The sequence below is a fragment of the Homo sapiens genome, chromosome 6, assembly GCF_000001405.40.
Source record: "Homo sapiens chromosome 6, GRCh38.p14 Primary Assembly".
NCBI lineage: Eukaryota > Metazoa > Chordata > Mammalia > Primates > Hominidae > Homo > Homo sapiens.
In genome coordinates, this window is record NC_000006.12 from 157695209 (window position 1) to 157716217 (window position 21009).

At 48.3% G+C, this 21009-nt stretch overlaps 1 long non-coding RNA gene and 1 pseudogene across 1 annotated transcript, besides 6 other annotated features; one reads left to right on the forward strand and one right to left on the reverse strand.

The window, feature by feature from the left end:
* Positions 1-5178: 5178 nt before the first annotated feature.
* Positions 5179-19181, forward strand: LOC107986663 (uncharacterized). Its single transcript, XR_001744427.2, has 3 exons — positions 5179-5263; positions 15877-18073; positions 18184-19181. It is a non-coding gene; the product is annotated as an uncharacterized LOC107986663 (long non-coding RNA).
* Positions 10910-11475: an enhancer, noted in NCBI's record as "NANOG hESC enhancer chr6:158127150-158127715 (GRCh37/hg19 assembly coordinates)". NCBI's record gives its function as "activates a minimal SCP1, AML or CMV promoter by ChIP-STARR-seq in naive H9 embryonic stem cells {active_cell/tissue: H9 hESC(naive)}" and the evidence as "EXISTENCE:reporter gene assay evidence [ECO:0000049][PMID:30033119]".
* Positions 15390-16589: an enhancer, noted in NCBI's record as "BRD4-independent group 4 enhancer chr6:158131630-158132829 (GRCh37/hg19 assembly coordinates)". NCBI's record gives its function as "activates an origin of replication core promoter dependent on BRD2, P300/CBP, MED14 and CDK7 cofactors, and independent of BRD4, by STARR-seq in HCT116 cells {active_cell/tissue: HCT116}" and the evidence as "EXISTENCE:reporter gene assay evidence [ECO:0000049][PMID:35650434]".
* Positions 15390-17025: a biological region, named in NCBI's record as "BRD4-independent group 4 enhancer GRCh37_chr6:158131630-158132829".
* Positions 16420-17025: an enhancer, noted in NCBI's record as "H3K27ac-H3K4me1 hESC enhancer chr6:158132660-158133265 (GRCh37/hg19 assembly coordinates)". NCBI's record gives its function as "activates a minimal SCP1, AML or CMV promoter by ChIP-STARR-seq in primed H9 embryonic stem cells {active_cell/tissue: H9 hESC(primed)}" and the evidence as "EXISTENCE:reporter gene assay evidence [ECO:0000049][PMID:30033119]".
* Positions 17430-17531, reverse strand: LOC124901555 (uncharacterized; annotated as a pseudogene).
* Positions 17957-18458: an enhancer, noted in NCBI's record as "H3K4me1 hESC enhancer chr6:158134197-158134698 (GRCh37/hg19 assembly coordinates)". NCBI's record gives its function as "activates a minimal SCP1, AML or CMV promoter by ChIP-STARR-seq in naive H9 embryonic stem cells {active_cell/tissue: H9 hESC(naive)}" and the evidence as "EXISTENCE:reporter gene assay evidence [ECO:0000049][PMID:30033119]".
* Positions 18459-18958: an enhancer, noted in NCBI's record as "H3K4me1 hESC enhancer chr6:158134699-158135198 (GRCh37/hg19 assembly coordinates)". NCBI's record gives its function as "activates a minimal SCP1, AML or CMV promoter by ChIP-STARR-seq in naive H9 embryonic stem cells {active_cell/tissue: H9 hESC(naive)}" and the evidence as "EXISTENCE:reporter gene assay evidence [ECO:0000049][PMID:30033119]".
* Positions 19182-21009: the final 1828 nt, after the last annotated feature.

The following is a 21009-nucleotide window of genomic DNA, read 5'->3' on the forward strand; positions in this document are numbered from 1 at the left end:
CAGGAGGGTTCCTCCCTCCGTGTACCAAGTCCTGCAACCCAATCTCACGAGACCTGCTTGGGTCACCTGCCCAGCCTGGAACCAATTCCTGGAGCTCTGAGGATACCAGGAGATCTGCTGCTCCAGAACTAAGCACCCCCAACCTGCTGCAGAGTGAGGAGTCAGCCCCCTCAAACCTCACGGAGCGAGAGCGGGACAGGCTGGCTGCCAGTGGAAAGTCAGGGTGGACTGGCCGTGGGCGACAGAGTAACAGTCCACTGCACTTCCCTTGTGCACAGCGGCCTTGGTATGATGCTAGCGAGTAGAGAAGTCAGGCAATACCACCACTTGGCCACCTAACAAGGGCCGGCAAAGGCTGAGGTGAAGAACAGGGGCTTTCAGAGCAGTTGCCAAACCTCGGGCCTGGCACGGCCGTCCTGTGCACCTCCCTGGCCCCCACGCTGTCAGCCACAGGGCTCCTTCTGCCTCTGCAAAGCTCTGCAGCCTATGCCCCCTTCCCATGCCCACCCCCACCTCGGTCAGCCCACAAGCACCAGCATGAGCTTCGTCGGCTGCAGTGACAGAGCCACACCACCTCAGCCACTCAACACAACACAAGCACGCCTCCTTCAGCTCTCCTTGAATCTTAGCTGGCCTGTGACTTGCTTTGACCAGCATGGCGTGGCAGGCCAGGTTTCCATTAGCAACCAGAACACTCAGTTTCCACTAATCCTTTACTATAATTTTAATGAATACATAAGTTAAACATTAAAGAACTGGAGAAACTGGTGCCTGAGTATGAGGGCTGGAATATGAAATCAAAATGAAGACCCACCTGGATTTTCTCAGATCCTAAAGTCTGATCAAATAATAATAGCATTTTTATATGTGCACCTCGTACCAGGACCCACTGAAGATTAAGAAAGTTTCTAAGACTCTTGAGAAAGCTTTCCGGACCCTAGACCCTAATTAAAGATTAGATCTAGGCCGGGTGCAGGGGTTCACACCTGTAATCCCAGCACTTTGGGAGGCCGAGGCGGGTGGTTCACCTGAGGTCAGGAGTTCGAGACCAGCCTGACCAACACAGAGAAACCCCATCTCTACTAAAAATACAAAAATTAGCCAGGTGTGGTGGCAGGTGCCTGTAATCACAGCTACTCGGGAGGCTGAGGTAGGAGAATGGCTTGAGCCCGGGAGGCAGAGGTTGCCATGAGCCAAGATCACGCCACTACACTCCAGCCTGGGTGACGGACTGAGACGCCATCTAAAAATAAAAAATAAAAATAAAGATTAGATATAGACTGAATGAAACACTCCTGTTTAGATATAGATTGAATGAAACACTCCTATTTGTAGGTGCAATTCCACACACAGCATGGAACTTAAACATAAGCACTAGAAAAAAAACTTGTAACTTTGAGTTGGTCTGGTGAGTTACTCCAACCTTGTCCCTGTAACTGGTTGCACAAATATAAACTCCTTTCTTTCCCAGTCTGTCTACATCTCATTATTAGACTGCAAGAACAAGCAGCCGGACCTTGTTCTGTCCAGGAACAGCAGTACAGCAGAAGAGATGCTGGGCCAGCTCCGACCTTGAGCTTAAGGGGCTCGGCAACTCCGCTTTAGTTCTCTTGGAGCCCTGAGCCACCTCCTGAGAGGCTGATGGAACAAGGCCCCAGCAGGTCCCCAGCCAATCCAGCCACCCAGGCTGAGGCACCAGACACATGAGTGAGGCCACCTGAGGCGTTCCAGTTCCAAACTGAGGTCCCAGATGAATGCTGTCAACACCTGTGGAGCAATGGCTCTAGCTAACACCCCACAGAGCAGAAGAACCTCCCCCGCGAGCCCAGACAGCTTACAGAAATTTGAGATATAATAAATCATAGTTATTTTATGCTAGTAACTTTTGAGATGACTTGTTACATAGCAATAGAAACTGAGACAACACATAAATCCTACTTCTCCAGCCTCGTGCCCTTCCTGGCACTCCATACCCTTGGCTCCATCCACACACCCTTGAACACCTCCTCCTGATGTGCCTGACAAACTCCTACTTATCCCTCAAGACCCAGCTGAAACCTTCACATCCTTTGACGTCCTCCCTAGTCACTCCCTCTCACTCCCCGAAATCCCTTCTTCCACCTGTTCCTTGGAACATTCCTTTATTAGAGCCTCCATTCGCAGAGAGTTTGCTTTTTCTTTGCTTTTGTCATGGCCGCCTCCACTAACTAGCCTGTGGCTCTGTGAGAGCAGAGATGGTCTCCTATTAATCTGTGGACCTCCAGTTCCTGATGAAGTGCCTGGTACATGATAGATACTCAACGTACATTTGAAAGAACGGATGAATAAACATATGAAAGAAAATGAAGGAATACAAAGTACATTGTTTTTTCTTTACAAGCCCTCATCTGAGTCTAGATGGAGGCAGGGAGGCAAGTCTTAAAACTTGCCTCCATCCCCACTTATGGCTTCTGTTGAGCACTCTCAAATGTGTGCTTGTCTACAAGCCTGGGAACATGAAGGAACGGGTCTTAGCACAGCTCCTGAGCACCTTTCACCTGGACTGTGAACAGCACACTCTCCCAGGAGTTGCTGCTCCTTGCAGAACTGTTGCTGCCATCTGGAATCTGCAAGCAGAGGCTGCGTGGACCCTGCATAGCCTGGCCAAGGACTGGCATGTCTGAACTGAACTTTGGAGCTCCTGGAGGTTTGTTTTAAGGGTCCTCAGGATTTTTGAAAAATCAGGTATGGTAAGACATGCAGATATAAAAATGACTGTCATGGATGAAGAAGTGTTTACTCACAATTCCCTGGAAGCAGGTGTCGATAAAAAGAGTCAAACTCTGTAAATATTTAAGGAGAGTTATTCTGAGCCGGCCGGGCGCGGTGGCTCACGTCTGTAATCCCAGCACTTTGGGAGGCCGAGGCGGGCAGATCACGAGGTCAGGAAATCAAGACCATCCTGGCTAATATGGTGAAACCCCGTCTCTACTAAAAATACAAAACATTAGCCAGGCATGGTGGCAGGCACCTGTAATCCCAGCTACACAGGAGGCTGAGGCAGGAGAATGGCATGAACCCGGGAGGCGGAGCTTGCAGTGAGCCGAGATAGCGCCACTGCACTCCGGCCTGGGTGACACAGTGAGACTCTGTCTCGAGAAAAAAAATAATAATAAAGAGAGTTATTCTGAGCCAAATATGAGTGACTAAGGCCCAAGGCACAGTCTCAAGAGGTCCTGAGAACATGTGCCCAAGGTGGTTGGGTTACAGCTTGGTTTTATGCATTTTAGGGGGACAGAAGTTAAACCCAGCCATCAATCAATACGTGTAAGGTGTAGAGTGGTAGTTTGGTCCAGGAAGGTGGGACAACTTGAGGCAGTCACAGTGCGGGGTGAGGAGGACTTCCAGGTGGATTCCAAGATTTTCTGATTGACAGTTGGTTGAAATGTAACTTCCCAATAGGTTCGTCTTGCCTGCTGCCTAGACAGAGCCAATTTATTAAGACAGGGGAATTGCAATAGAGAAAGAGTAATTCATGCAGAGCCAGCTGTGCAGGAGACTAGAGTTTTATTATTACTCAAATCAGTCTCTGAGCATTTGGGGATCAGAGTTTTTAAAGATAATTTGGCAGGCAAAGGCTTGGGAAGTGGGGAGTGCTGATTGGTCAGGTGGGAGATGGAATCATAGGGAGTTGAAGTGAGTTTTTCTTGCCATTTTCTGTTCCTGGGTGGGATGGCAGAACTGGTTGAGCCACATTACTGGTCTGGGTGGTGTCAGCTCATCCATCGAGTGCAGGGTCTGCAAAATATCTCACGCACTGATCTTAGGTTTTACAATAGTGATATCCCCAGGAGCGATTTGGGGAGATTCAGACTCTTGGAGCCAGAAGCTGCATGACCCCTAAACTATAATTTCTATCTTGTACCTAATTTGTTAGTCCTGCAAAGGCAGACTGGTCCCCAGACAAGAAGGGGGTCTTTTCAGGAAAGGGCTGTTATCAATTTTGTTTCAGAGTCAAACCATGAACTGAATTCCTTCCCAAAGTTAGTCTATGTCTTCCCAAAGTTGGTCTATGTCCAGCAATAAACAAAAACAGCTTAAAGGTTAGAAGCAAGATGGAGTCGGTTAGGTCTGATTTCTTTCACTGTCATAATTTCCTCAGTTATAATTTTGCAAAGGCGGTTTCAGAAAGAGTTAAGTTATTATCTAAAGAATTGGAATCAATAGAAGGGAGTCTCTGGGTTAAAAGAGGGGTTGTAGAGACCAAGGTTCTTATTATGTAGTTGAAGCTTCCAGGTAGCAGGCTTCAGAGAGAATAGATGGTAAATGTCTCTTATCAAACCTAAAAAGCTACCAGATTCTTAACCTCTCCTGGATCAGGAAGAGACCTAGAAAGGGAAGGGGATTCTCTAGAGAGTATAGATTTTCCCTGCAAGAGGTAGCTTTGCAGGGCCATTTCAAAATATATCAAAGAGGTCGGGTACAGTGGCTCACACCTGTAATCCCAGCACTTTAGGAGGCTGAGGCAGGATTGCTTGAGCCCGGGAGTTTGAAACCAGCCTGGGCAAAATAGTGAGACCCTGTCTCTATAAAAATCCATTTAGTCGGTTGTGGGGCTTTTTATTTTTGGTTTACACAGGAGACAGGGCACACTGGGCAGGGCCACACAGGGATGCACTAGGTTGGTCGAAATGCATGGGAGTGGGTGGGTGAGGTGTGAACAAGAACCTTCACTGCGCCTTCTGTAGGAAGGCGTGGGCCAGGCAGCGGCAGCGGGCTGAGGGATGGACAGTGAATAATTTCAGCATGCTGTGGGCATAGGGGCTGTCCCTAGCTGTCTGGCATCTGGCCCTGAGATAAGGGCAGGTGGATGGTGGCCTGGAGTGTGAGGGCCAATGGAAGAGGTGGTTGGGGTGCGGGTGCTGGATGAGTTCCTTTGAATAAGAAAGGCACACCCTGGGTGAGTTGTTTACTGTCTCCAGGAATTGGCCCCAGGGTCAGTGAGACCCTGGATGCTGAAGCATCAGAGAAACAGGGTAGAAACGGCTCCTCTCCTCCCCGTGACACGGAGCCCTGCAGGCATCCAGGACAGAGCCTTTCCTGGGGCTATTGAATGTGACAAATCTGGTTAATCAAGAGACATCCCAGGAGGACTCCATTATGCCCTGCACATAAAAGGCAACACCTATCACTAAAGACACCTCTGACTCTGCGCTGCCACCCGGCAGTGCGAGGACCACATACTGACCAGGTGTGGAGCCGATGCCCAGACCCGTGATGGCAGGTGAGGAATGCCTTCACGGCCTTCACAGCTGCTCTACATGCCTTAGTTTTAGGCAAATCAGCACGGAGTAGCAGAAGAATAGTGCATGCTTCAGCCATAGATAATTAAAAAGCAAGCAGGTCTTGAACACTATAGTGTATTATTGCTATAAAATTTCTAGGAGAAAAATTTCACGCGCGTCCATGTGAAGAGACCACCAAACAGGCTTTGTGTGAGCAACATGGCTGTTTATTTCACCTGGGTGCAGGCGGGCTGAGTCCGAAAAGAGAGTCAACGAAGGGAGATAGGGGTGCAGCCGTTTTATAAGAGTTGGGTAGGTAAAGGAAAATTACAGTCAAAGGGGGTTTGTTCTCTGGCGGGCAGGAGTGGGGGTCTCAAGGTGCTCACTGGGGGAGCTTTTTGAGCCAGGATGAGCCAGGAAAAGGACTTTCACAAGGTAATGTCATCACTTAAGGCAAGGACCGGCCATTTTCACTTCTTTTGTGGTGGAATGTCATCAGTTAAGGTGGGGCAGGGCATTTTCACTTCTTTTGTGGTTCTTCAGTTACTTCAGGCCATCTGGGTGTATACGTGCAAGTCACAGGGGATGTGATGGCTTGGCTTGGGCTCAGAGGCCTGACATTCCTGCCTTCTTATATTAATAAGAAAAATAAAAATAGTGTTGAAGTGTGGGGGCAACGAAAATTTTTGGGGGGTGGCATGGAGAGATAATGGGCAACGTTTCTCAGGGCTGCTTCGAGCGGGATTAGGGGCAGCGTGGGAACCTAGAGTGGGAGAGATTAAGCTGAAGGAAGATTTTGTGGTAAGGGGTGATATTGTGGGGTTGTTAGAAGAAACATTTGTCGTGTAGAATGATTGGTGATGGCCTGGATATGGTTTTCTATGAATTGAAAAACTAAATGGAATAAGAGAAGGAGAAAAACAGGTATTAAAGGACTAAGAATTGGGAGGACCTAGGACATCTGATTAGAGAGTGCCTAAGAAGATTCAGCATAGTCCTGCCAGCAAAGATTATTGATTTACTTCAAGAGTTAAGAGTGGCAGTTTGGGGATAGCACCAGGAGATATCAGCTGTGATGGCTTGGAGAAACAGTGTAAACCGGCCGTGTAAACAAGAGCAGGGCATGTATGAGTAGTTCAGAATGGTGAATAGGAGTATGACTAGACGGAAGATAGTAGGGATGACAAGTTTTTTTGGGGCACAGTCTAAGTTGGTCTGGTGTCTGGAATGAGACTGGGGCCTAATAAAAAGGAGCATCTATACAGGAGCTCAAATGCGCTGTACCCTGTAGCATTCTGAGGACAGGTCTGACTTCTGAGAAGGGAAAGTGGTAAAAGTATTGTCCAGTCCTTTTTAAGTTGGTGGCTGAGCTTGGTGAGGTGTGTTTTTAAAAGACTATTAGTCTGTTCTACTTTTCCTGAAGACTGAGGACTGTAAGGGATATAAAGGTTTCACTGAATACTAAGAGCCTGAAAAACTGCTTGGCTGATTTGACTAATAAAGGCTGGTCTGTTATCAGACTGTGTAGAGGTGGGAAGGCTAAACTGAGGAATTATGTCTGACAGAAGGGAAGAAATGACTGCGGTGGCCATCCCAGACCCTGTAGGAAAGGCCTTTACCTATCCAGTGAAAGCGTCTACCTAGACTAAGAGATATTTTAGTTATCTGACTTGGGGCATGTTGAGTAAAGCCAATTTGCCAGTCCTGGGTGGGGGCAAATCCTCGAGCTTGATGTGTAGGGAAGGGAGGGGGCCTGAATAATCCCTGAGGAGTAGTAGAATAGCAGATGGAACACTGAGAAGTTATTTCCTTGAGGATAGATTTCTACGATGGAAAGGAAATGAGAGGTTCTAAGAGGCGGGCTAGTGGCTTGTACTCTAGCATAGCCTGCCTTTGCTGGTGTGTGGCGATTAGGCCTGGTGGAACTGCCATCAATAAATCAAGCGTGATCAGGGTGAGGAACAGGAAAGAAGGAAATATGGGGAAACGGGGTGAATGTCAGGTGGATCAGAGAGATACAGTCATGGAGGTCAGGTGTGGTATCAGGAATAATGTGGGAGGCCAGATTGAAGTCTGGGCCAGGAACAATGGTAATTGTGGGACTTAACAAAGAGTGAGTACAGCTGAAGGAGCCGGGGAGCAGAAAGTATGTGCGTCAGGTATGAGGAAGAAAATAGATTTTGGAAGTTATGAGAAATGTAGAGAGTGGGTTGAGCATAGTTTGTGATTTTGAGGGCCTCTAAAAGTATTAGGGCGGCAGCAGCCGCTGCACGGAGACATGATGGCTAGGCTAAAACAGTAAGGTCAAGTTGTTTGGACAGAAAGGCTACAGGGTGCGGTCCTGGCTCTTGTGTAAGAATTCTGACCGCACTAACTATGCCTAGGAAGGAAAGGAGTTGTTATTTTGTAAGGGATTGAGGTTTGGGAGATTAATTGGACACGATCAGCAGGGAGAGCACATGTGTTTTTATGAGAATTATGCCGAGATAGGTAACAGATGAGGATGAAATTTGGGCTTGACTGAAGTAATGGGGTCTGTCTTTGAAGCCTTGCGGCAGTACAGCCCAGGTAATTTGCTGAGCCTAATGCATGTCAGGGTCAGTCTAAGTGAAAGCAAAGAGAGGCTGGGATGAAGGGCGCAAAGGAATAGTAAAGAAAGCATGTTTGAGATCTAGAACAGAATAATGGGTTGTAGAGGGAGGTATTGAGGATAGGAGAGTATATGGGTTTGACACCATGGGATGGATAGGCAAAACAATTTGGTTGATAAGGCGCAGATTCTGAACTAACCTGTAAGCCTTGTCTGGTTTTAGGACAGGTAAAATGGAGGAATGGTAAGAAGAGTTCATAGGCTTTAAAAGGCCATGCTGTAGCAGGCGAGTGATAACAGGCTTTAATCTTTTCAAAGCATGCTGTGGGATGGGATATTAGCATTGAGTGGGGTGAGAGTGATTAGGTTTTAATGGGATGGTAAGGGGTGCATGATCGGTCGCTAAGGAGGGAGTAGAGGTGTCTTATACTTGTGGGTTAAGGTGGGGAGATACAAGGGGAGGATATGAAGGAGGCTTTGAACTGGGGGAAAAGGCGGCAGTGAGGTGTGGCTGTAGCCTAGGAACAGTCAGGGAAGCAGATAATTTAGTTAAAGTGTCTCGGCCTAATAAGGTAACTGGGCAGGTGGGGATAACTAAAAAGGAGTGCTTAAAAGAGTATTGTCTAAATTGGCACCAGAGTTGGGGAGTTTTAAGAGGTTTAGAAGCCTGGCTGTCAATATGCACAACAGTTATGGAGGCAAGGGAAACAGGCCCTTGAAAAGAAGGTAACGTGGAGTGAGTAGCCTCCGTATTAAGAAGGGGACGGACTTACCCTCCACTGTGAGAGTTACCTAGAGCGTCTGTGATGGTCCTGCAGGCTTCCGAGGCGATCGGGCAGTGTCAGTCTTCAGCTGCTAAGCCGAGAAGATCTGGGAAGGAGTCATTCAGAGAGCCTTGGGCCAGAGTTCCAGGGGCTCTAGAAGTGGCTGCCAGGTGAGTTGAACAGTCCAATTTTCAGTGGGGTCCTGCACAGATGGGACACGGCTTAGGAGGAATCCTGGGCTGTGTGCATTCCTTGGCCTAGTGGCCAGATTTCCAGCACTTGTAGCAACCTCCTGGGGGAGGAGGTTCTGGAGGAACCCCTGGCAGCTGCGGTTCAGGTGTTTGGAGTTCTTGTGTGCTGGAGATGTGGCTGGGGTTTGTCTCACAGTGGAAGCAAAGAATTGCAACTTAGAAATATGTTGCTGCTTGGCTGCCTCTACTCTATTATTGTACACCTTGAAGATGAGGTTAATTAAGTCCTGTTGTGGGGTTTGAGGGCCGGAATTTAATTTTTGGAGTTTTATTTAATGTCAGGAGCAGATGGGGTAATAAAATGTATATTGAGAATAAGATGGCCTTTTGACCTTTTAGGGTCTAGGGCTATAAAGTGTCTCAGGTTTGCTGCCAAACGAGCCATGAACTGGGCTGGATTTTTTATATTTGATGAAAAAGAGTCTAAACGCTAACTGATTTGGGAGAGGTCAGATAAAGAAAAAGGAGAATTAACTTTGACTATGCCTTTAGCTCCAGCCACCTTTTTAAGAGGAAATTGCTGGGCAGGTCGGGGAGGGCTAGTCACGGAATGAAACTGTAAACTGGACCAGGTGTGAGGAGGGGAGGTGATAAAAGGATTATAGGGTGGAGGAGCAGAGGCTGAGGAAGAATTGGGACCTAGCTCGGCCTGGCAAGGAGGGGAGAGGTCAGATGGGTCTGTAGAAAAGGAAGATTAGAAAGACTCAGCGACGCTTGTGGTTGGGACTGAGGGGACAGGCGGGAGGGAAAGAAGGAAGATTTGGGACTAGTTGCATTGCGAACAGAGACTAGGGAGGGACTGATGTGTAAAACAGTGCCTGGATGTCAGGCCCCTCAGACCATTTTCTTATTTTTCAACAAAAATTATTTAGGTCTTGCAGGATGGAGAAATCGAAAGTGCCATTTTCTGGCCATTTAGAACCACTGTCGAGTTTGTATTGGGGTCAGGTGGCATTGTAGAAGAAAATAAGGCATTTAGGTTTTAGGTCAGGTGAGAGTTGAAGAGGTTTTATGTTCTTAAAGAACACAGGCTAAGGGAGAAGAAGGAGGAATGGAGGGTGGAAGGTTGCCTATAGTGAAAGAGGCAAGTTTAAAGAAAAGGAAGAGTAGAGACACAGAGGGAAGCGGTTCGGGGGTTCTTACCCTCCAGAAAAGCAGGAAAGGGGTCAGGGCGCAGAGATACGAGGTCGGGGGCGTGGAAATAAGGGATCAGGGCACAGAGATATAAGAGGCTGGGGCATGGAAATAAGGGATCGGGGCACAGAGACACGAGGTTGGGGTACTTGCCCTTCCCCTAGAAAAGTGGGACTTGCTGCTAAGGGTGAAGGAGAAGGGGTTGGGGGTTTCTTGCCTCCCAGAAAGGCGGAGAAGGGGTAGAGACACGGAGAGAAGGGGTTGGGGTACTTGCCCTTCCCCTAGAAAAATGGGACTTGCCACTAAGAGTGAAGGAGAAGGGGTTGAGGGTTTCTTGCCCCCTAGAAAGGCAGAGAAGGGGTAGAGACACGGAGAGAAGGGGTTGGGGTACTTGCCCCTCCCCCAGAAAAGTGGGACTTGCCACTAAGGGTGAAGGACCAAGGCAGGTGTCCTTGCGTGGTCTGACACCTCTGAAACATGGGTGAATAATTAGAGAGGCGTCCCTGCAATGATTAAACACCAAGGGAAGCCTGCCTTCCCAGTCCGTGACTGGCACCAGAGTTTTGGATCCACAGATAAAACGTGTCTCCTTTGTCTCTACCAGAAAATGAAAGGAATTGAAATTAAAAGAAGGGAGAGATTGAAGTGTGGCACCAAGATTGAAAGGAGAAAGAGGTGGAGGGATAGTGAGGGAGGTTGGAGAAGAGAGTAAAAAGAGGCTGCTTACCGGATTTGAAATTGGTGAGATGTTTCTTGGGCTGGTTGGTCTGAGGACCTGAGGTCGTAGGTGGATCTTTCTCATGGAGCAAAGAGCAGGAGGACAGGGGATTGATCTCCTAAGGGAGGTCCCCTGATCCGAGTCACGCACCAAATTTCATGCGCGTCCATGTGAAGGGACCACCAAACAGGCTTTGTGTGAGCAACATGGCTGTTTATTTCACCTGGGTGCAGGTGGGCTGAGTCCGAAAAGAGAGTCAGTGAAGGGAGATAGGGGTGGGGCCGTTTTATAAGATTTGGGTAGGTAAAGGAAAATTACGGTCAAAGGGGGTTTGTTCTCTGGCACGCAGGAGTGGGGGTCACAAGGTGCTCAGTGGGGGAGCTTTTTGAGCCAGGATAGGAAAAGGACTTTCACAAGGTAATGTCATCAGTTAAGGCAAGGACCGGCCATTTTCACTTCTTTTGTGGTGGAATGTCATCAGTTAAGGCAAGGACCGGCCATTTACACTTCTTTTGTGGTGGAATGTCGTCAGTTAAGGCGGAGCAGGGCATTTTCACTTCTTCTGTGATTCTTCAGTTACTTCAGGCCATCTGGGCATATATGTGCAAGTCAGAGAGGATGCGATGGCTTGGCTCAGGCTCAGAGGCCTGATAAAAAATACCCAAAACTACTGCAGCAATTTCAGCCACTACTGACCTTTTCACCTACTTGGTGTGAACCCAAAATACCAGAGATGGGTCTCACTCAATTGAGAAAGTTTATTTTGCCAAAGGTTAAGGACATGCCCGTGACACAGCCTCAGGAGGGCCTGACAACATGAGCCCAAGGGGGTCGGGGTACAGCTTGCTTTTATACGTTTTAGGGAGACATAATACATCAATCAATACATGTAAGATTGACATTGGTTCGATCTGGGTGGGACAACTTGAAGTGGGGAGGGGGGAACTTTGAATTGTATTTTTGGTTTATATAGGACTGCCTTTCTTCCTTTTCTCCCCATGGGTCCTGTAGGATCTATGATGAGATAATAGGTATTTTATGCTCCAATTTTCTCATAAATCAAGGACATGAATACCCAATGATCTCAGCTTCTGGTCATTAGAGATAAGCAGTGTTTCCATGGTGTCTCTGTTTAATTCTAGTCAAAAGCAAAGGAACATGATGTATTGGTTAGCCTGTGTAGCATCATTGCAGCCTGATGGGTGACACTTCACAAACTTGTAGTATGCTAAAAATAGGCCACGAAACCCAATGGACTCACCCTGTTACTGGTGGAAGGTGTCCAAGTTACTAGCAGTGAATCCATACGGGTCTGCACCAACCTCAATTCTTGCCTCCTCAGAAGAAAGAAATTGGACTTAGGGGCACAAGGCAGAAAAAGAGACCGAGGCAAGTTTCAGAGCAGGAGAGAGCAGGAAAGAAAGGAAAGTACACTTACTTGGAAGAGTCTCAAGTGGGCAACTTGAAGAACGAATGTGGCATTTAAACTTGATCCTAGGACTTTATAGCCTGGCCCACCTCTGGTATCTTGCAGCCCTTTCCCATAATTCTTCCCTTAGGGTGGGCTGCCCACATCTACAGAGGGGTCCTGACGCCTGGGAAGTGAGCATGAGCAGTGGGTTTACGACGTTGTATGCGGCATGCTCCCTTTTCCGGTGGAGGCCCCCAGAAAGTCATACTCCACCATTTTGTCGCTTAACGCGCATGCCTGAGCTCACTAGCCCAATAACTGAGACTTTATTGGAAGTCCTTTTTGCTTCTCCCTGGCATCTGCATTAAATTAACTCTTTAATGTTAACAGCCCTGGATCTTCAGGAGATTGTCTCGCCCTGGCGCTGGCTGCTGAATAATCACTTTTAGAAGGGCAGTGTGACCATTGTCACACCATCACCTGACACCATCACCTGACATTCCTGGTGGGTAGGGGAGAGCCCTCTCCTGCCCTGCTCAGGCCTAACTACCTGTAACAGACCCCAGTGACACCCTAGAGTCAGGATGTGTGCTTTGGAACAATGGACCACAGCTAGAAAAACTCAGAGCAGTTGAACCCAAGTACCATCTGCCAGCTCCATAAGAGTAAAGATAACCTCATAATGTAACCACCCAATGGGCTTTTCTTGCCTGCTGCCCAGGTAGAGCCGATTTATTAAGGCAGGGGAATTGCAATGGAGAAAGAGTTTAATTCACACAGAGCCAGCTGAACGGGAGACTGGACTCTTACTATTACCCAAATCAGTCTTCCCAAGAATTCAGGGGCTAGGGTTTTTCGAAGGTAGTTTGCGGAAAGGGGTGGGGGTGGCTAGGCAATGGGTGCTTGCTGCCAATTGGTTGGGGGTGCAATCAGAGGGGTGTGGGAAATGGTCCTCCTGAGCTGAGTCGCTTCTGGGTAGGGCCACAGGAACACTTGGGGGATCCAGGTGGAGCCATTATCAGTGTGAGACATGCAGAAAACCTGAAAAGACATCTCAAAAGGCCAATCTTAACGTTCTACAGTAGTGATGTTATCTGCAGGAATAACTGTGGAAGTTGCATATCTTGTGACCTCCGGAGTAATGGCTGGCAATTGTTTATGTCTCCACCTTAGCCAAATTCAGGTTCCTCTATCCTCCTAGCCTGGTGGTCTCTCATTAGCTTTACAAAGGAGGTTCAATTTGGGGGAAAGGCTATTATCATTTAAACTATAAACTAAACATCTCCCAAAGTTAGCTTAGCCTAAGCCCAGGAATAATTAAGGGCAGTTGAAGACTAAAGGCGAAAGGGGGATTGGCCAGATCAGATCTCCTCCAGAGCCATAATTTTCTCAATGATATAATTTTTTGCAAAGGCAATTACAATAAGGATAATAGTAATATCCTTACATGTTCCACATACCACGACAAGCATTTCCTATGCATTGCTTCAGTTAATTTTCATATCAATCTTATGAAACAGGATCCTAGAGATGAAAGCCAAGGTCCTGCTGAATGGGAAGCCAGGTTGAGAACTTAGTCCTTTCTGACTTCAAAGCTTGTGCTTTCACTCCTGTGTTATGTTGGAATGCGAGCTTTGAGGATCTCTGAAAAAAAAAAACCATATTAATATGCTCAGACTGCATAACAAAATGCCACAAGCTGGGTGGCTTAAACAGACATTGGTCTTTTTACAGGTCTGCAGGCCCTACAGGTGCCCTCAGGGTTGGTTTCAGGTGAGGCCTCTCTTCCTGGTGTGCGCAGGGCCGCCTTCTTGCTGTGTCCTCACTCAGCCTTTTCTCTGTGCACCTGCAGAGAGAGAGACAGAGAGAGAGAGAGAGCGTGCTCCGGTGTCTCTTTCCCTTTTTTTTTTTTTTTTTTTTTGAGACGGAGTCTTACTCTGTCACCAGGCTGGAGGGCAGTGACAGGATCTCGGCTCACTGCAACCTCTGCCTTCCAGAGTCAAGCAATTCTCCTGCTTCAGCCTCCCGAGTAGCTGGGACTACAGGCACGCACCACCATGCCCAGCTAATTTTTGTATTTTTAGTAGAGACAGGGTTTCACTGTGTTAGCCAGGATAGTCTCCATCTCCTGACCTCATGATCTGCCTGCCTCAGCCTTCCAAAGTGCTGGGATTACAGGCATGAGCCATTGCCCCCAGCCTCTTTCTCTTCTTCTAAGGACACCAGTTCAGTGGATTAAGGCCTCATTTTTAGGGCCTCACTTAACCTTAATTACCTTTTTATAGGCCCTATTTCCAAATACTGTCACACTGGGGGGTTGGGCTTCAACCTATGAATTTGTGGGGGAGGGGGGACACAATTCAGTCCATTCCAAAAGTCCTTGCCGTTTTGTCATAGGCGTGTGAACCAGAGCAACTCCGTCTTGAGTAGGAGCTAGGTAAAATGAGGCAGAGACCTACTGGGCTGCATTCCCAGACAGTGAAGGCATTCTAAGTCACAGGATGTGACAGGAGGTCGGCACAAGATACAGGTCATAAATACCTTGCTGATAAAACAGGTTGCAGTGACGAAGCCGGCTAAATCCCACCAAGACCAAGATGGCCACGAGAGTGACCTCTGGTCGTCCTCACTGCTACACTCCCACAGGCACCCTGACAGTTTACAAATGCCATGGCAACATCAGGAAGTTACCCTACGTGGTCTAAAAAGGGGAGGCACGAATAATCCACCCCTTATTTAGCACATCTTGAAGAAATAACCATAAAAATGGGCAACCAGCAGCCCTCGGGTCTGCTCTGCCTATGGAGTAGCCGTTCTTTATTCCTTTACTTTCCTAATAAACTTGCTTTCACTTTACTCTATGGACTCGCCCTGAATTCTTTCTTGTGCAAGATCCAGGAACCCTCTCTTTGGGTCCGGATCGGGACCCCTTTCCTGTTACATTTCTAGTGTGTACATGGCCACCTTCTTGCTGTGTCCTCATGCGGCCTTTTCTCTGTGCACCTGCAGAGAGTGAGCTCTGCTGTCTCTTCCCCTACTTCTAAGAACACCAATCCAGTGAATTAAGGCCTCGTCCTTAGGACCTCTTTTAAACATTTGTGTGTGTGTGTGTGTGTGTGTGTGTGTGTGAGAGAGAGAGAGAGAGATGGAGTTTCACTCTGTCGCCAAGGCTGGAGTGTAGTGGCACGATCTCAGTTCACTGCAACCTCCGCCTCCTGGGTTCAAGTGATTCTCCTGCCTCAGCCTCCCAAGTAGCTGGGACTACAGGCACCCATACCACCATGCCCAGCTAATTTTTGTACTTTTAGTAGAGATGGGGTTTCACCATGTTGGCTAGGATGGTCTTGATCTCCTGACCTCAAGTAATTCACCCGCCTCAGCCTCCCAAAGTGCTGGAATTACAGGCATGAGTCACTGCTCCCGGCCTGGCCTCGTTTAACCTTCATTACCTCCTTACAGGCCATTTCCTAATGCAGTCACACTGGTGGGCAGGGCTTCAACCTGTGAATTCTGGGGGGGACACAATTCAGTCCATTCCAAAAGTCCTTGCAGTTTGTGTGGATCCACTCGGGGGCCGCTGCCTAGGGCAGGCCGGTGAGGCAGCCTGGCTATGCTCCTCTCCTCCCCGGAGTCACACTCACCTCACAGGTCCAGACACCTGGTCCCTGGGCTTACCTATATGGAAAGGGTGGTTTTTTCATTATTAGGCAGATTTTTCTGGGATGGCCTTCTTTGTTCTTCCAGAAAAACACCAGTTTGCAAGCAGAAACGCCCTCAGCTTGGAGGAGTGTGGTCACATGTTGAAAATGTGGGAGCTTGATTCAGGCAGCTCTGAATTCAAGGACTGGTTCAGTTGCCTACAGGCCACGTGACCTTGGGTAAGTCACGCAATCTTCCTGAGCCTCACTTTTTCCATGCCAAGATTCGCCTCCCAGGGTTGCTGTGGCAGAGGCGTAGATGAGCCAGCTCTATACTGCACGTGACCCTAAAAAGGATTCAGAAAACATTAGGCCCCAACAGCATCTGCGGGGACCATCTCCTTAGGGTCCCCAAGGCGTTGCCCTGCCCATTTTGCAGACCTTTTGTTGTCAACATTCAGTTAACTTAGAGCCACATTCATCCTCCAGGACCTGCAGGGTGGTGGACAAAGGCCGCATCCCCTGAAAAGCAGGCCCTGATCTGACGACTGTTCTGAGAGCCAGCACTGGCCCCAGGTTAAGAGCAGAAGGTCCCACTGCTACCCTGAGAGGCTCAAAACTAGCCATTTCCATCCCTGGGCTTCTGTGTCATCAGCTCTAAAATGATGTTGAGACCTTTGGTTCCCAAGGGGGAATGAGGGTTTCGTGTGTTGCCTAAACACTGTCCTCACCCCCTTGATCTGAGAGCAGACCAGGAGCCAACAGACTGATCAATGCCAGCTTCACTTTCCCACTGCCCAGGCTGGCCCCCAGGGAAGAGCAGGACTTGGAGGGGGACTGGCAGGCAGGATGGGCACTGGTGTATGTAAGGCAGTGCTGCCCAGTGAAAGAGGTGCCCCTTTCAGATCCACCAGCCTCTGATGGAATCTAAGCTCTACTTTTTGTTTAACTGGCCCCCTGAGGGCATGCTTCAATCCTGGAGGTACTGCAACATACGTCAATGTGTGAAGTAGACTCAGCACGCTCCTATCCCATCTCCCTCCTCCAAAAACTCATTTGATATATGTCCTCTAGTAGAGGATGTATTGATATAGGAGCTAAAAAAGAAATTATTTAGGCAGTTAGTGAGGGTAAGAGAGTCCTTGGTAAGGTTTCCCTTTTAATAAAAAGCCGTCCCCAAATCATTTCTTTTCTAACAAAGAGCAGCCCGAAACATCAAGCTGCAGACATAGAAAAGCAAGCTGGAAGCTTGCACGCTTGAATACCGGCAGCTGTGCCAATAGGAAAAGGCTACCTGGGGATCAGGCATATTCAACATGGAGGCTTCATGTTCCCTTCTTTGTCAACCATGTGTGTAGTAAAGGAACAGGCCACATGGCACCAACCAGGTAGAGAACCCATCTGCATAATAAAATATTAGGATGGGGCAGCCAGCTTTGTGCTATGTAAATGGCACACCTGCTCCAACCAATCTTTGGGCCCTGTGTAAATCAGACACCGTCTCCTGAAGCTGGTCTGTAAAACCCTGTGCATTTCACCACGAAACCGGAAGACCCACTCGGGAGCCTCTCTCACTGCAGGAGAGAACACTTTTCTCTTTTCTCTTTCTCTCACCTATTAAACCTCCACTCTTAAACTCACTTCTTGTGTGTCCGCATCTTTGATTTCCTCGGTGTGAGATGACAACACCACTTCAAGTATCAGATGTTAAACTGATAACAGATACTCGACTTGATCTTAGCCAAAAGGCCCAGAAGCTGTTGAGCTCTCCTTCCTGCTCTGTGTACCTGGGTGAGTGTCTGGGTATCTATAGGCCTCAGTTTTCCTTGTCTGTAAATTGGGCACAATACCACATTTTCTGCAGTATCACAGAAGGAGTAGATGGTCCATGCAGAGCACATGGTTAACATTAATATGTAGCTCTTAATAAGTAGTAGTTACCATTATCTCTGCCATCGTGATGTCACTTATAGCTCTCCTGGAGATGGCTGCAGGTGTGAAGAGAACTAGAGCCCAGTCCTTGGAATGCTGCAGAATTGCAGGGTGCAGAGGAAGAGGGCTGACCACACCTGGGAACATGACTCCTGTGAGCTGGCATCTCCCAGTACGCGACGACAGGGTCCTCCCACACACAGAATCCCCTCCTTGAAATTCCTGGTCACAGACATAGAACAGGCCAGCAAGGCAGGCATGGTGGCCAGGCAATGTTTTTCCTTTTGCAGTCAGCATATTTGCCTCAGGAAGAGGGGACTTTTCGGCACCCTGATGTCCCTCTGTTTGTCCCTTCACTGGAGAGCAAGCAGGTATGATTGAGGTCACTGGGGGAGGAAGGGACTGGGAGAAAGAGCATTTCTCATATGCTTTCCTTCCTAACCTCTGATGGACTTCACAAGTGTCCCTTTAACTCCTCCAGGTTGATAAGGTTCTAATGGCACCTCTGAGACCTCGAGCCTAGGTTCTCACCTAGGACAGGGAGCCACCCACAACATGGAAGCCAGAAACAGGCTAACTGGTGGCCGCTTCTTGCTCATCCATGGAGAGGAAAAGCGAAGCAAGGGTGAGGCATGGTGGGGAAACCCTGGTCAAAACTCTCTCGCCCTGAATATTCCCCTTAGAGGGCAGCTGCCTGGATGGGGGCACCCTGACTGGCTTGGCCTGGATTGACGAGCTGAACTCTGGCCAGCAGCCTGGGTCCACGGATCGCGAGGCTTATCGGAGTCTTCCCTGAGACAGGGTTCTGTTAGGAAGGAGGAAGCAGATGGAAGGTGGGCAGGCAGCTGACGGTGTCCACAACACCATCATGGAAATCTTAAATCTAAAGAGAATTGATTTCACCTGATGGCTGAGCAGAAGCATGTGTGACCAGAAAAGACCCTTGTACGAAGCTGGCCTGTGCCTCAAAAAAGGATGTCAGTCCAGGTTCTTTGCACCCACAGCGGGGAATGCAATGTCAGAGCTGGGGAGTGGCCTGGCAGGCTGAGGGGAGCGGCTCATGGACAAGGGCCATTGTCATCACCCATAGCTGTGGTGGTACACAGGATATCTGCTCTGCCAGGAGGGGCAGGGAATCAGCTGTGTCCTGGCCTCTCCCTGTCTCTCATTCTCTAGCCCAGCCATTTACCCCTATTGCTTATGGAATTCAGCCCTGGAAGAGATGTTCTATCTGCCAGGAGCTCCACCAGCTCATGCACAATCTGGCAAAGGTGCCAGAAGACAGAGGTGTCCCCAGAGGGAGCCCTAAGCAACCAGCATCCCAAATGACCACAGATGTCTGCTTCCTGCCTGAGTGAATTTTCCTTTCTCAGAAATGCAATACCTCATTGACTTGTATTATCTTTGGAATGACAATGGCCTAACTAATTGGGAATGCGTGACTTCAATAAACAGTTTCACCAACTGCTCTTTCTAAAACTGTTTTCCAGGTCAACTAGTGTGTGAGAAGCAGTTAATGCTTTGAGTTTTAGGAGAGAACAGGTCCTCTTCATTCTCTGCCCTAAGGTATCTGCCAACATCTCGTAAATCCAGGCTCACATGATAGCCTGGGCCCTAGGATGACCACGGGAATTTATCCCTTGTGTCTACACTGATGGATGTTGGTAATTTTCTGGAATATTGGGCTGAGAGGCATTCTGAGGCCACACCAGAAAGAGCCCTGTGTGTCATTCACAATGTCTGCCATGTGCAGAGGAGAGAAACGGCACAGATGCCACACACTGGATATCCCAAGGCGAAGTGGCCTTCCATATATACCATATATATTCCAAGGTCAAGAAGCAGGTACTGGCCAGGCACAGTGGCTCACGCCTGTAATCCTAGCACTTTGGGAGGCTGAGGCAGGTGGATTTCCTGGGCTCAGAAGTTCGAGACCAGCCTGGGCAACATGGTGAAACCCCATCTCTACTAAAATACAAAAAATTAGCTGGGAGTGGCAGTGTGCACCTGTAGTTCCACCCACTCAGGAGGCTGAGGCAGGAGAATTGCTAGAACCCGGGAGGCAGAGGTTGCAGTGAGCCGAGATTGTGCCACTGCACTCCAGCCTGGGCGACAGAGTGAGACTCCGTCTCTTAAAAAAAAAAAAAAGAAGAAGAAGAAGCAGGTATCTATCTACCAGAAGGACACAGAGTCCCATAGAACCACGCCCTTACCCAGGCTGAAAGAATTGCGGCCGTGAATAAACATTTCCCCTCCCTATGCCTTCCTCACGCTCAGGGACACAATCAAGAACATTTTTCTGAATTAAGCGTTCTTTCTAATTGGATACTGATGGCATAAAGAATGTCAGTTTGGGCTGGGCACAGTGACGCATGCCTGTAATCCCAGCACTTTGGGAGGCCAAGGTGGGTGGATCACATGAGCTCAGGAGTTCAAGACCAGCCTGGGAAACATAGTGAGACCTTGTCTCTACCAAAAATCAAAAGAATTAGCCAGGTGTGGCACACACCTATAGTCCCAGCTCCTTGGGAGGCTGAGGTGGGAGGATTGCTTGAGCTGGGGAGATTGAGGCTATAGTGATGTATCACTGCTATAATCAAGGCTGTAATGATCACGCCATTGCACTCTAGCCAGGGTGACAGAGTGAGACCCTGCCTCAAAAAAAAAAAAAAAAAGAGTAAAGAAAAGAAAAAAAAAAGAAAAGGGATATCAGTTTTATCTGTGTGTGTTTTTGTTATTCTCTTTTATAAAGATTTGGGATACGTGGCCTATAAAAAGAAAAAAAAATCAAGATAAAGCCTAAAAAGTAGGCATTTTGGCTCCTCTGTGTATTTGCCATGGGTTTCATCTGAGAGAAAAGCTCAAATTACATTAAACTCATGCGTAATTTGATGGTGTGCAAACCAAGGAATGAAGAAATCTTGCAACACAGTTTTGTTTTCCAGGGCTGAGTTTCCCAAACAGTGAATTAGAGCAACCCTCATGACGAAATTGGTCAGCCCTGGAATCCCAGCTGATCTGACCCAGGCTCTGCAGGGAGAAGCCTGGCCTCGGAGCAGCAGGGGCGAGGCTCTTTTCTTGCAGCCTGGAAAATAGCCCCACCCAGTCAAAGAACTAGTGAGCCATTTCCCCAAAAAAGGATCCCAGGCTCTCCCCAGTCAGAAGCTTAACTGAAGCCAGAGCTGGGTGGACCCTCGCCCACCAGGAATAGCGGCTATAATGACAAGGGTCATTGTGTGTTTTGCTGCTTAATGAAGCAGAGACATTCCTCAGGCATTTTGTCCTGGACACAGGTAGGAAGGAGGGA